Below are 15,402 nucleotides of genomic sequence, written 5' to 3' on the forward strand. Positions count from 1 at the left end.
ATCTTGCAATACCTGGTCTAAAACAGGCCTAAGTTTTCTCTTTCTTTGTTAACTGATCACAAGGAACTCACCATAATGCTGTAGATGTGGAATGTAGCAGGAGTGTGGAGTGTGGCGTTCTTTGCATAGCTTACTTGTGTAGAGGCTGCTTGGATCCAATCTTATGTATACCACTTCCATTTGATGACGGAATGCTGCTGTGCTTGCCCAACTTATGGCTTCGTGGGTCAGATAACACCCAGTTCATAATGGTCAGCTCACATCACATAGTGACTTCATGGCCCATGGTTAAGCCTTCTGTCTCTACTAAGACCCAGTAGAAAGTGAAAAGCTGTTTCTCAAAAAAAAGTTATCTGCAGAGGATGGCTTATATGTAGACGGTGGCAGGACTTTGCTCCAAAATCCTAAGGGTCTGCACTGTCGTTCACTTATGTGGGCCTGCTGAAGGCTCCAAAAAGCATCCCTATCTGCCACTGACACTTAAAAGCACCATTAGATCTGCTCAGTCATATGCTTTAAGTGGCAGAACAGCTTACACAGCAGCCTGGACCTGCTGCAGAGCCTTCCCTTGTTCTGGGACTCACACTACTGGACCCTTAGAAATTTAACTGAGGTAGAAGACTCTGGATGTTTTATTGCATTTAATTTTTACCTCCTGACACCCAAATGTCTTACCAATAAGTCTAGAGTAGTTGCTACTTCTTGTTCACTAGCTCCAATTAGCATAATGTCCTCAATGTAATAGACCGATGTGATGCCTTATGGAAGGGAAAGGTGATCAAGATCCCTGTGACCTAAATTATGACACAGGACCAGAGTTGATAGACCCCTGATGTAGGACAGTGATATAGTTTGGATGTTTGCCCCCTCCAAACCTCGTGTTGAAATCTGATCCCCAATGTTGTAGGTGGGGCCTGGTGGGAGGTGTTTGGATCATGGAGATGGATCCTTCATGAATGGCTTAGTATTGTCCTCCTGATAGTGGGTGAGATCTCTCTCTGAGTTCACTTGAGATCTGGTTGTTTAAAAGTGTGTGATACCTCCCCCTACCTTGCTTCTGTTCTTGCTATGTGATGTACTGGCTCCCCTTTACCTTCTGCCATGGGTTGTAAGTTCCCTGAGACCCTCACCAGAAGCAGATGCTGGCACCATGCTTCCTGTACAGCTTGCAAAACTATGCCAATTAAATTTCTTTTCTTCATAAATTACCTAGCCCCAGGTATTTCTTTATAGCAACATAAAAATAGCCTAATACAGACAGTGAAAGTATATTGCTGGCCTGGCCAGTTGAAAACAAACTGCTTGTTGGTTTTTACTAAAGGTGTGAAGGAAAAAAGCATTTGCCAGACTAACAGCTGCATTCCAGGTGTCAGGTGATATGTTAATTTGCTCAAGCAATGAAGCCACATCTAGTATAGCAGCTGCAATTGGAGTTGCTACCTGGTTAAGTTTATAATAATCTACTGTCATTATCCAGGATACATCTATGTTCTGTACAGGCCAAATAGATGAATCGAATGGGCAAGCAGTAGGAATCACCACCCCTGCATCTTTCAAGTCTTTGATGGTAGCCCTCATCTCTGCAATTCCTGCAGAAATGTTGTATTGCTTTTGGTTGTACTATTTTCCTAGGTAGAGGCAGTTCTAATGGCTTCCACTTGGCCTTTTCCATCATAATAACTTCCACTCCATAGGTCAGGGAACCAATGTGAAGATTTTGTCAGTTGCTGAGGATGTATATTCCAGTTATGAATTCCAGAACTGGGGAAATAACTACAGGCTGAGTTCAGGAACCCACTGCCCTCATTATAAGATGGACCTGAGTTAAAGCTTCATTGATCACCTGACCCCCATAAACCCATACTCTGACTAGAGGGCCACAGTGACATTTTGGGTCTTCTAGAATTGGTGTCAATTTAGAGCTGATGTCCACTAATAGAAAGAATAGAAAGATCTGATTATTTCCTTTTTGCCAGTGTGTAGTCACCTTGGTAAAAGGCCATAGGTCCCTTTGGAAAAGGCTGGGAGAAAGATTTACCTTATAAATGTTTGGCGGTGGAGTGGAGTTCTTCCACAATAGTACCTACTCTCCCCTTCATTCAAAGAGTTCTGGGTCTGTAAACCAGCTCAGGTCTGGTAATTGATTGAGGGGATATGACTCTATTTTTATGTTTCAAGTTAGACTTGTTCATTTGACCTACAACTCTTCCACTTCTACAAAGCAAGTCAGAATTTGCTAGACTTCCCAGCTGTTTCACTTCCAGGAACACCATGATCAACTAGTCAGCATAGGTCTCTGAGTCAGACTATTTTGACTGCTGTTTCAACTCCATTGTCCATTATGGTAACCACACCCGCCTTGCTTTTGGTGGTTTATTGCCACCACTTGGCTGCCACCAACCTGGGGCCCAATTACCCCCATTGCACTTAGGTTTTCCAACTTGATGGCAGCAGTTTCCACATCCTTGACATCTATTCTCACAGATATTCCTCAAATTGCTGTCTGTCTGTTTAAATTGGAAAAATCATTTAGTTCTTTTGAAGTGTAGCGCACCTTCTCATGGGTCATACTTTGTACTTCACCTTTCAGGGCTTGCTGGGATTTGAGTCCAGTTATCAGTTGATAAGGAAAGTGGGATGGGGGTGGGTCCTGAAGAGAATCAGTGGGGTCTTCCATGACAGCTGCCTCAGGGGAGGCCATTACAGTTTTCTCGGGCAAAGCAGGGTTAACCTGCTCAAACATGGGTTGGGGGGTGCAGTTGCTTCTTCTGACAAAGAAGACTCGTTGGAATTTAGGGGTTCAGTGTCCCCATCTTCGTCATGATCTTCCCATATGTCCCCAAAGCAATTTTCAAAGTCCTATTCCTTCCCAATCTATGCCCCCACTTTAACAGCAGATACTCTGCAAGGTTTGGAATTTAACTTGCATTGCAATTCAGACCTCGCAGGATGAAGATTCTTGGTTTGGTTTTCTGCAGTCTCAGCTCTGAGGCTGTAGGAGATAAGGATTTCTTTCTAGGAAGGCATAGAAACTTTCAGGTCATTTATGCTGCATCTGAGTGGGAATTCAAATCCCTCAACTCCTTTTCTTTCCCACTTTGTCCAGCCCAATTAGGAGCAACCAGCCAAGTTCATTATGCCCATTAGTTTGACGGAAATGTTCTACGTTATCAAATACGTGGTCACCCAGAACCTTGCCTATCATAATTATTTGATTAGGAGTATCTAATAGTGATATTTTTGTGTATCTCTATTACCACATCACACCGATGACTATCAGTGCTTTATTCACTATTGGAACTAGAGTCATTAGTGCTTCTAAATCTAGTCATTTAGAGAACCAATTCCAGAAACCCCCAAACCAATTCAGAGAATTTATTCTTAAAATTCTGTTCCTGGCTGGGCATTGTCTTATGCCTATAATTCCAGCACTTTGGGAGGCTAATGTGGGACAGTCACTTGAGGCCAGGAGTTTGAGACCAGCCTGGGCAACATAGTGAGACCCTACCTGTATTTATGAATTTAAAAAATTCTGGTCCTCTAAGAATACTTCTCTTGGTACCAAAATCTGTATTAGTCAGGGTTCTCTAGATAGATAGATAGGTACGTAGATAGAGCTTATCTAGTTACCTATGTACATATAATATATATTGTGTGAGTGTGTGTGTGTGTGTGTGTATGTGTGTGTGTCTGTGTGTGTATGTGTGTGTAGGGATGGGGAGAGTTTTATTTTAAGGACTTGATTCACACAGTTGTAGGGGCTGGCAAGTCCAAAATCTGCAAGGTAGGCTAACAGGTTGGAGATGCAGTCAAGAGGTGATTTTGCATCTTGAGTCCAAAGGCAATCTGTAGGCAGAATTCCTTCTTCCTTGGTGGACATCTGTCTTTTTCTCTTAAGGCCTTCACCTGATTGGATGAGGACCACTCACATGATGGAAGATAATCTGCTTTACTCAAAGTCTACTGATTTAAATGTTACTCTCATCTAAAAAATACCTTCACAGCACCATCTAGACTAGTGTTTGACCATTTGGCAACATAGTTAGCCAAGTTGACACAAAATTAACCACTGTAGAACCCAAGAACATTTCCTCAGAATTCTACCACTAGGTAGAGACTTAACCTCTGCAGACAGGCCAGCTGGGACTATGGGCCATGAGAGAAGACAGGTGGAAATGGCAGTAGGAGATCTGAGTGTTTGTCCTTCTGTCTGCCAATAGCTAGGGGAGCATTAGACACGCTTTATATGGAGTGGGTAGTGTCTTGTGGGGGTGCTTTATGCTATGTCAGTCATTCTCTAGTCTTTGTTCTGGATTTTTAGATCTTAGAGATCAGGGAATACAGTCAACACCCAACACCCAGTATCCATGGGGGATTGGTTCCAGGACCATCCATGGGCACCAAAAGGCAAGGATACTCAAGTCTCTGATATAAAATGGCACAGTATTTGCAAATAAACTACACACATCCTCCTATATAAATTAAATTTCTAGATTACTTATAATACATAATATAATGTAAATGCTACATAAATAGTTATATTACATTATTATTTTATTTGTATTATTTTTGTTATTTTTTAGTTGTGTATTTTTCTGAATATTTTTGATCTGTGTTTGAATGCATGGATCCAGAACCCACAGATATGGAAGGCTAACTATATGTGTTTTTGTATTTACCTCCACCGTAACACCTAGCAAGGGTGCTGCTGGAACACAGTAGGCCTTCAATCAATGTCTGCTGGATGGATGACTGTAAAATAGGAAAGTGAAATGATAGTAAATTCTCTGGGTCTGCAAGTACTTGTGTCTCTCTGAACAAGTCACATAGCCTGTTGAAACTCCCAGGTAATTTGTAAGTGAGTAAACTAGCCGAGTTCCCCTCCATCAGTGAGAGTTTCTTTTACGTTTCTGATGACAACACAGGTAAATTCTGTCGTTCACCATCATTTACTAAAAAGCACTTTCAGAGAAATTCACCATACATGGGCTGGGCTGTCACAGAGAATGAAAATAACATGGTCTCGTCCCTGTGGGGGCCCCATGCGCCAAGGCTTAGATTCCAAGGCTACCTGTAAATAAATTACCAGAACTGGGGCTTTACCTTATGAATCTTTTCTTTCCTAAGGCTCCAACTAGCATGGAATTTTTGAAACCTTGCAAACAAGGTTGTATCTTTTACTGTGTACACTACACTGGATAAAAATTTGGAAGTCAGATATACTAATTCATTGATTTTCATTAATTCAGTGTGGGAAAGTGTAAAGAGCACCTCCCCAAGCACTGGGGGACTTGGGTAATTAGAATAATAATGTTAATAAGTGTGAACACTTCCTGAGCATTTCGGCTGTGCGAAGCATCGTGCTCAATGCCTTATTGCTGATGATTCTCTGATAACTTCATAAAGTAGGTGCTATTATCAGCTCCAGTTTACAGAAGAGGAAACTGAGGCTTAAAGAAGCTAAGCAACTAGCCGTGATTGCAGGGCTGTTAAGTGGCACAGCTGGTACTGGAATCCAGATGTGTCTGACTCCAAAGACTGAAGCCCTTTATTAGAGACTAATCCATTGACTTTAAAAATGCCATTTAACTTCTGAACTTCACCATGTAATAATGGGATTCAATGAGATGCTCTCTCTAGTTTCTTTCAGTTCTTAAGATGTAGAACTCTTCAGCCGGAGAAGTCAGTCAGGTCAATTCCACTGCTCATCCCTCTCCAGAAGAAGGGTTTTTGCAATGCAAATGGGGACGACCTTGTGCAACTCCAGCCCATAGAAGTCTAGTCTCATAGAGACTAGTAGGGACCTGATCCAGTGGGAAGGGGGCCAAGAGGAGAATGAATGGCCAGCATCTGTTCTCTCCATCCACACGTGTTTATTCATCACTTAGCCAAAGATCATGGTAACAGCTTGGGGGAGGGAGGAAACTAGGATGCCTTTCCCATCCTTTTCAATGTTGCCTGCACCATTTTTTCCATGACTACTTAACTACACTAGACATTGAGAAAAGAGGTATAAAGAGAGGAGGAAAGAGAAGATCAGGGACAGTTGTAGGCTGATCTGGCCTGGAATGGCTTGCACTTGATATGGAATATCAAGTGGGATATGGAATTAAAGTGGCCCTCCAGTGAGTCACATCCCCCATCAGTTGTTCCCTGCATCCTCCTCCTACAAATACTGGTTTCTGTAGGTGAGCAGAATCCCCAAAACCATCACCCAGCACCTGCAAATCTTGCTGAATATGAAATTCATGACAGCAATAAAAACTAGCAGTTATTGAGTGCTCGCTATGATAGGCATTGTCCCAAGCTCTTTTAAGTATTATCTTATGCAATCCTCACAACAAGTTATCAAATAAAAATTAGTGTCACTCCCACTTAAGGAAGGAGAAACTGAGGCTTAGAGCAGTTGAGTGGCTTGTTTCAGGTTCCCGATCTCATAAGAAGTGGAGCTGGAATTTGTGTTTGGGTCTTTCTGGCTCCACCCTCATGCTCTGCTCCGGGACGTGGTTCTTCCCCCTCCCATACCTGCAACCCCCGCCTAAGTCTGATTGAATTCTTTCATCCAGCCTGCTGGTGTTCAGCCCTTGGATCCTACCAGATGCCCTGCAGCTCAGTGACTGGACAGTGTGAATGTCGGCCAGGAGTTACAGGACAGCGGTGTGACAGGTGTCTCTCAGGAGCTTATGATTTCCCCCACTGCCAAGGTAGGAAAGTCAGCAGATTGCTAGAGGGCTGGTTCCTCTCTGAAGTGTGTGCAGCCAGCCTCCCAGAGAAGCCTGCAAATCCCCCACAGACTCACCACTGGCCACCCCCACATCCTGCTTTCACAGATCTAGTCTGCTTGGTTCCTCACCTGTTCAAGTCTGGTTTGAAAACACGTATATCATATATGTACCCTCAAAGGAATCCAGAAATGATTTTTTTAACTAAAAATAATGTAAATTTCCATGTGCTATACATGTGGGTTTCTTGGTTCACATGTCAGTTTTCTGTGGATAGCATTGTGGCATAGGTGACTCCTTTGAGTTAAAGGGGCCATTTGTTGTCTTCTGTCCCGAGGCATCATGCCTTCTTTCGCTCCCAGCTTGTGGTGCTAATGCTGGCAGCACTGTAATGTTTCTAACAGATCCACTTGCCAGCAGGCTTAGCAGGACCTTTGCTGTGTTTCGGGCCTCTCTCCCTGCCCTCCTCTGGCCTTCTGGGGGACCGTGTCATCGTACTTCAGCCCAAGTGTTGGGGAAGGCGGGTGGGATGCACTGGAGTCTATGCAGTTTGGAGAGAGTGCACTGAGGGGGAGATGAAAACCAAGCCTGCAGCTGTGGGACGTGGTTGGTATTCATCCCTCTGTTGATATGAGAGATTAAGGCTTGCCCATGTACCATGGCAGAGGGGACAGAAATGAGATGTCCACAAATTTCCCTGGGCTCCCTGGTGTGTGCAGCCAGAGAGCAGACCAGTAGCTCTTGTCAATTTCGGAGAACTCTTGCTACTGTGAAGAGGTGTTTGTGGAAGGCTGACCCAGACTATCCATCAGGAGAATGTGGTTTCTCAGACCCCTTCCTGCGCTTTGAAGACAGGACTGACTTCATTTCCCAGAATCTTCCTAACCAGAATCCTCTGGAGACCAGGTTTCCTTGAGGGTGGAAGTTGCAGCAGGCAGTCAGAGGTGGGTGCTTGCCTTTCAAAAGGCCTGAAGGTCCCTAGGATGCGAGGGCATCCTGCATGGGTCTGCTCACCTCCATGGGCCTCAGGAGCAGAAGGAAGTGCTGTGGCTGCCTGGCAGAGAAGCTGAGCAGCCACAGTCATCCCAGGGCTAGATGGCAATGTTTGTGTCCTGGAGAGGAACCCGAGGTTGGGCATGGAAAACAAACAGCTGGAAATTTGTGTTGGGTATTACGGAAAAATGCAGGGAACAGGAGAACATCAGAAAAGAAAGAGAGGGCAGGGTGGCTCATGCTTGTAATCCCAGCACTTTGGGAGGCTGAGGCGGGAGGATTGCTTGAGGCCAGGAGTTGGAGACCAGCCTGGGCAACATAATGAGATCCTGTCTCTAGAATTTTTATTTATTTTTGATTTTATTTTATTTTTTTTTGAGACAGAGTCTCGCTCTGTCCCCCAGGCTGGAGTGCAGCGGCATGATCTCAGCTCACTGCGAGCTCTGCCTCACGGGTTCAAGCGATTCTCCTGCCTCAGCCTCTCGAGTAGCTGGGATTACAGGCATGTGCCACCATGCCTAGCTAATTTTTTGTATTTTTAGTAGAGATGGGGTTTCACCATGTCAGCCAGGATGATCTTGATCTCCTGACCTCGTGATTTGCCCGCCTTGGCCTCCCAAAGTGCTGGGATTACAGGCGTGAGCCACCACTCCCAGCCTCTAGAAAATATTTTTTAAAATAACCGGGCATGGTGGTGCATGCCTGTCATTCCAGCTCCTCAGAAGGATGAGGTGAGAGGATCACTTGAGCCCAGGCATTGGAGGTTGCAGTGAGCTATGATCGTGCCACTGCACTCCAACCTGGAAGACAGAGCAAGACCCTGTCTCAAAAAAGAGAGTGAGAGAGAGAATGAAAATCATCAAGGGGAAGCTGAGGCAGACAGAAGCAAACAAAGCCAATAGGGTTAAGGAACAATTTATAAGCAAACAAGATCCTATTATGGATTTATTTAAATGATTTGAAAAACCAGACTCAGAACAGACTTACCCAGTTCAAACACTGTGTAATTGTAATACTGAAACATTGCAAGATCCCAATTTATTGAAGAGAGATTATATTTGGTTTGTAGTGTTATACTAAGTCAGGAAAACAAACCAATTGATTTTATAAATAACTTTAGTACGGGTGGGAACAAGGAGGTGTGATAATTAAAGATGTACTTAGAAATTCTAGAACGTCTTTTAAATGGGCAATTAAAAGTCTCTTGGTACAATATTGCCCTCTTCTGGACAATACTAATGATGCTCAAAATTTTAGAATCTTTCCCTAATCTCCTCCTTCATCATCAATTAGAAGTGAACTGTCATGAGTAGACAGGATAGGGATTTGTTCAGTGGCAAAAGAGGTAATTTGGGGATTAAGGACCATAAATGTCATTCAAGATGCCTGACTATGAATTGCATGCAGACTTTGCCACACATCTATCGAAAATATAAATGTAGATACACTATTTTTGAAAACAAAACGTTTAAAACTTGAAACATCAAAACAAAGAGAAAAACAAACTACCAGATAATTTAAAAATTTCTGAATCATATTCAGGTTCCAGCAGTGCTTGTGACCCAGCTGGTACCATCAACTCCAATTTGGTAAGTAGACTATAAAAGGGTTGCAATTCTAACTATCTCTATTATTCTCATGCATATTAAGGACTAACAGTGTGGGCACTTCCAGAAATTAAAATAAGACCCAAGGCTAAATTGCTTAAAGAGGTCATTGTTGTTTTTCAAAGAGCATATGTGATTTTGTGATTTTTTTTTTCAAAAACAAAAGAATAAGATTTAGTTAAACTTGTTACTCTGGAGTCCTAGAGTTTAACTCTTACTGCAGGTTTGTAGGTTACTCAGAGGGTGTTGCCTCTGTGGAGCCCTGCATGTAAGTCTGACAAACATAATTAATAACATTGAGAAAATCAATGGCCAAGGACACATTAAATAAAGTTGGCTGTGTACAAAATAATTACAATTTATTTTATATTATTCCAAGCACAATACCATGGTATTCTGAACATTTTTTTTCTTTTTCTTTTCTTTTCTTTCTTTTTTTTTTTTTTTTTTTTGCTCTTGTCGCCCAGGCCGGAGTGCAGTGCCGCGATCTCAGCTCACTGCAACCTCCGCCTCCTGGGTCAAGCGATTCTTGTGCCTCAGCCTCCGAGTAACTGGGATTACAGGCACGCCCCACCACACCTGGCTAATTTTTGTATTTTTAGTAGAGATGGGGTTTCACCATGTTGGCTAGGCTGGTCTCGAACTCCTGACCTCAGGTGATCCACCTGCCTCAGCCTCCCAAAGTGCTGGGGTTACAGGCGTGAGCTACCACACCCGGCCTATTCTGAACAATTTTCTGAGATAATTTAGAAATTGTCTGTCTTCTTGGCCTCAGAGCCTAGAGATGCCGACTTCCAGGCACAGAATGGATGGAGTGAAAGAGGTTCTGCCATCCTTCCCATAAGCCTTGATGACATTGATGCAAGGCTGTGAATCTTGCATATTACAAAAGCACTCTCAGATAAACAATTCTTTACTGATTTTCAACATGTTAAATATTCAGACATTTTTTCTATTTAAATTGGTAGTCTATGCTGTAACAGTATCAACAGACACTGACAATGTTATAAATAAGAGTGATTTTTAAATTTTCTTTCTCCTTATTTTCCAGTTTCTTTTTAACCACAAATGCGGATTACATGCATAACAAATAAATGAATAAAAATAAACAAAAGCAATTAGCAGACTGTTGAAATCAACCCAGTATTTTTTCCCCCTGGATACACTTAATTACTTTTCATGACCAAAATATGTTTCTGTGACAAGTCTTTGCTCACGCACAGGTTTGAAAACATGTCTTAATTCCAAGATGTCAAATGTTTGTTTGATTTTCATTCAAAGGGGTATTGCCAATGCAAGCTTCATGTTGAAGGTCCTACTTGTAGCCGCTGCAAACTGTTATATTGGAATCTGGACAAAGAAAACCCCAGTGGATGTTCAGGTAGGTTTCTTATATGTCATAATTTACTATATTATAATGTTCTCTTAATTTTCTCTGCCTCAGTGACTAAATCCACAAAAGAGCTATTTGTTGAATCACTTCAATTTGACAAGATTCTATGTAATGTTCTGATGTTTTCCCCCCACTTTTGACAGAATTTCTGTCACTTTCAAAATCTTAGCAAGGGATTTCTATCCTGTTTCTGTATGTATTTTGTTGTTTGAGAAGGCAGCTACTTGATAAATGGTTTTTATGTCCTTGTTTTTATAATTTACTTTTTCTGGTTTAATTTTAATTTTATGCTTATATCAGAGCCAGTATAAGGACTTAAAAACACCGAGTTAAGGATACTGAATAACCTTGAATAGAGTGTATTTTCATGCATGCATATCAGTAATGACCTCGGCATTGGAATCATTCAAAAATCCCATGATGTTGCAGCTTTTGTCATGAAGTAGCCATGAACTAGCTGTTACTTTTTGTAAATGGATAGTGTGGATTGGTCTGTTCTGCCAACTTCAGAAAGCAGTCTAATTTTAGGCCTCAGCGATGCAAACTCTCATTCTGTTGAACTGCGCTGGCAAGGCCAACTGCACACGTTGTGTTGCAGCTGTGTAATGTTCCCAGAGCCAGGAACTGTCTTTTGTGTCTCCCTTAGTTCAAGGATGCTCTCTTATCTCCACAGAATGCAAGTGCCATAAGGCGGGAACAGTGAGTGGAACTGGAGAGTGTAGGCAGGTAAAGTGGGCTGAGTTTTCATGTGACAACAGCAGAATGCTACAGCAACTGCTTGTGGGGTTTCTGGGGGCGTGTGTTAGTACTTCTGTCATTCTACAGTGCATGGTAATCCTTTCCAGATCCTGGCTACACTGCTTCCTATTATACAGTGAGGCAGTTTTCAATCTTGAAGATTAGTGAATTCTGTAATTATATCAAATGTTGTCATCTGGCTCACTGTTCTGCAGGGAGATGGTGACTGTCACTGCAAGTCCCATGTGGGTGGCGATTCCTGCGACACCTGTGAAGATGGATATTTTGCTTTGGAAAAGAGCAATTACTTTGGGTGTCAAGGTAAATAAGTCCATTGGGCCCTGAGCAAAGCACAGTGTTGATGGACAAAGATGGTCTAAATAACATTTCTTCTGAGTTTGTCATCTTCACGCAGACTTTCTGATGGAATGGCCCTGAAACATTCTGTCCAGGGAATTTGGCCAAACATTGATTACATTGAAACTAGTAAATTGCAAGTGGGGCTGTTTCTACTTCTCTTCTACCAGCACACTGTGGGTTTAATGATAAGAAACATAACTGGGATGGGAGGGCATCTGTTAGTTTTATAAATAACATCAATATTTAGTAATTTTAAAGATATATTTTATATTATCAAAAATGCTAGCATCAGATTTTTAGAGACAGTGTTGTGTTAAATAATGAAATTGCAGGACAGGTGCCCCGCAAGGCTACTCTTGAATCTCTCGCTCGGCCCCTGGTTATCACATGTTCTTTAGAACAGCACTGTTTCTGAAGCGCGTTTACTCCTGGGCTGCTGTTGTCTTTGCATTGGACAACAGCATTTGAGCTGGCTTATAGTAGCCGCCTCCAACTTAGAAGCAGACCTTTGGAAAGACACCATTTTAATTTTGTTTTTGTTTTTGTTTTGGTTTTGGTTTTGGTTTTTGTGGTTGAATCTGATTTCCAAGCGCGGACACACCATTTTGGTTTGGGAGTTTCCAAGATTTCAAACACTTGCCAGACAGATGTGGCAGAGGAAAGAAGGCAGGCACTGTGTCACTGGGATGGTCAGTTTTCCTTTCTTGTACAGCAGGGGAGGCGCTCAGTGTGGAGATGGTTTAAGGTATAACTGCTGCTGTTTCCTGGCTTTCAGGGTGTCAGTGTGACATTGGTGGGGCATTGTCCTCCATGTGCAGTGGGCCCTCGGGAGTGTGCCAGTGCCGAGAGCATGTCGTGGGAAAGGTGTGCCAGCGGTGAGTCTTCGGGAGGCTTCTTCCCATGTTCAGGGTGTGAAAGATGGTCTTAGACATTCCTGCCTGTGCTACAGCTCTGGAGAAGAGAGAAGCAGCCCTAAAGATCGAGGTCAGGGGAAGCTGTCCTATGTCAATTGAAATCTGGACATTTGTGTGTGAGTTGTTTAAAACAGGAGATTACTTTGCCCATAAAGCCTGTTCTACTGTGTAGACCATGAAGTACTTTCGCTTGAAAATTCCCACAGGTACAAAAACCAGGTGGGCAAGACGAGAGCTGGAAGCATGAAGTGGGTTCTCAGGGCTCAACTTCCATGTGCAAGTTGGAGCAGGAGGAGCCCACAGATAGGCCCGCTCCAGGGAGAGAGGGAATAAGAGGGGGTGGTGCCACACACCCAGTTGCCTGGGCCAATAAGAAAGGGAATAAGAGGGGGCAGTGCGACATACCCAGGTGCTTGGGTCAATAAGAGAAGGCATAAGAGGGAGTGCCACCACACACCCAGGTGCCTGGGCTAATAAGGTTCAGTTCCTGTTTCCCTCTTGGGACCCAGGAGTGAGGAAGTAGAGAGGCCAAAGTTGTTCCCCAGGGTTGCGGTGGGGGTAGAGGGTAAGAAAACTTTGGAAGTGGGGAAGAAGTACTTTGTCTCATGCAGAAGCAGGTGACAATGAACTATAGGAGCGAGGGAATGAGGTGGAGATTGAGACTGGGGAACTATAGGAACTATGGTATTGTTCCATCTCTTAAGCCATTATATTTTACCATTTATAAACGTTTTGAAACCTTGATGTTTCATCCATGATTTTTCCTCTGTGAAGGGAAAAAAAGTAACTTCTGAATCTCAGGTCCCTTCACTACTTGCATTAGTAACAGATTTATAAAGAAATTTTTTATGTCGTGGAGGTAAATTGTATTTAGCAAGGTGATTCTCTCCTTTCCCTCAATGTTTCCAACATTTGAATTCTAAAAGTCAGAGCAGGCTGGGAGTGATGTCCCAGTTGGGACAATTGCTTGAGGCCAGGAGTTTAAGACCAGCCTGAGCAACATAGTGAGACCCGATCCCTATAAAAAAAAATACAACAATTAGGCAGGCACTGTGGCACATGCCTGTAGTCCTAGCTGCTCAGGAGGCTGAGGCAGGAGGATAGCTTGAGCCCAGGAGTTTGAGGTTGCGGTGAGCTATGATTGCATCACTGCACTACAGCCTGAGTGACAGAGCAAGACCTTGTCTTTAATAAAAACAAAAAAAGTCAGAGTAACCCAGCCGCACTTTCCCTCAGTTGGGGGCTTGGAGTAAAAGATCTGTGAAGAGGGCATGTCTGTAGGTTTGTTTTCCTGAAGACCATTGAGCCTCCCCATGGGCCAGGGGAGCTTTGTAAATGCCTGCATAAAACGTTTTCCTGGCTCGCGCCTGTAATCCCAGTACTTTGGGGGGCCGAGGTGGGCGGATCACCTGAGGTCAGGAGTTCAAGACCAGCCTGGCCAACATGGTGATACACTGTCTCTACTAAAAATACAAAAAATTAGCCAGGCATGGTGGCGCACACCTGTAATCCCAGCTACTCTGGAGGCTGAGGCAGGAGAATTGCTTGAACCTGGGAGGCAGAGGTTGCAGTGAGCCAAGATAGTGCCCCTGCACTCCAGCCTGGGTGACAGAGTGAGACTCCGTCTTAAAAAAATAAAAAAATGTTTTCCACCTGTGTTTCATCTTGCTCCACCCTGGTGTTGATAAAATGAGCTTCTCCGCTACTTAACCAGCAAACATTTTTTCTTCTTCCAACTATGTAGGTGATTGACTGATTTTCAGCATAAAATAATGCAATCAAATAGGAATTAAGTTACCCAGCCTGAGGCAAGAATATTAACTTTTTACATGATACATGCACACATACATATATCTTCAAGTTTAGAGCGTGTCCTTGGATTTAGTGGTAAATTATAACTGAAATAAAGGCTAGCAAACCAACAGTGTGGATGCCGGAGCACCTTGTCTCCAACATGACAATCTTGCATCCTTTTGTACTAAATTCCCCCACATGTTTGCTCTGGTTTTATCAGAGAATTTTTAGGTTTTCTGACAAGTGTAGAAAGAATTCACGTTTGCTTTATTTTCTGAATAATTCTTGTGGTGATAAATGTAATATATGTCCAGTGAACAAATTTTAATAAATTCATCAAAGTAAAAAGGCAAAGAAAAATCTTCATTTCTCTACCCAGAGATAACCCCTTTTTAATATTTTTGGTGTATTTTTTCTAGACCTTGTCTATGAATTAAAAATTAGCATTCTATTTTTTCATATAATTCACATTCATTACTTCACATCATATTGTAAATATTTCCTATTATCATTAGCCTTCACATTTTAAATGGTTATGTATTTTTTTTTATAATTTATCTCATAATTGTACACTTATGTTGTTTCCAGGTCTTCACTGTTTTAAACATTCTTTTATGTTAATTCTTTGACTATCTACAAAATCTTTCTTTAGAACAGATTCCTGGAAGTAGAATTACTGGGTCAATATGTGTGAACATTTTTAAGGATCTTTGTAAATTGCTTCCAGAAAAGTTGTAAGCATTCCTAATTCTATTTGCAGTATAGGAGCATGGCCTTTTATTTCCTTAAACAAATTCATCTTTATGGCATTAATCCCACTAACTGCTATTAGCTTGTGACTGGATTGGCGAAGTGTCTTTTTTTTTTTTTGAGAACTTTAA

The 15,402-nt window shown here is 42.5% G+C and overlaps 1 protein-coding gene across 12 annotated transcripts in view, besides 1 other annotated feature; it reads left to right on the top strand.

Annotated features, from left to right (window-relative positions):
• Positions 1–15,402, top strand: part of LAMA3 (laminin subunit alpha 3) — a 265,614-nt gene that overhangs the window by 114,347 nt on the left and 135,865 nt on the right. For 11 of the 12 annotated variants that reach the window (XM_011525978.3, XM_011525982.3, XM_011525980.3 and 8 more), the window contains 6 exons: positions 6,567–6,704; positions 9,258–9,304; positions 10,604–10,703; positions 11,389–11,441; positions 11,669–11,774; positions 12,589–12,688. In XM_011525978.3, the coding sequence (XP_011524280.1) occupies positions 6,567–6,704; positions 9,258–9,304; positions 10,604–10,703; positions 11,389–11,441; positions 11,669–11,774; positions 12,589–12,688 (544 nt within the window). Of the gene's footprint in view, positions 1–6,566; positions 6,705–9,257; positions 9,305–10,603; positions 10,704–11,388; positions 11,442–11,668; positions 11,775–12,588; positions 12,689–15,402 lie in introns of those variants that run through there. The other variant, XM_017025743.1, reaches the window with a different exon arrangement.
• Positions 6,631–6,690: an enhancer, noted in NCBI's record as "active region_13164". NCBI's record gives its function as "activates an Ori minimal core promoter by ATAC-STARR-seq in GM12878 lymphoblastoid cells {active_cell/tissue: GM12878}" and the evidence as "EXISTENCE:reporter gene assay evidence [ECO:0000049][PMID:35858748]".

The sequence above is a fragment of the Homo sapiens genome, chromosome 18 (genome assembly GCF_000001405.40).
Source record: "Homo sapiens chromosome 18, GRCh38.p14 Primary Assembly".
Lineage (NCBI taxonomy): Eukaryota > Metazoa > Chordata > Mammalia > Primates > Hominidae > Homo > Homo sapiens.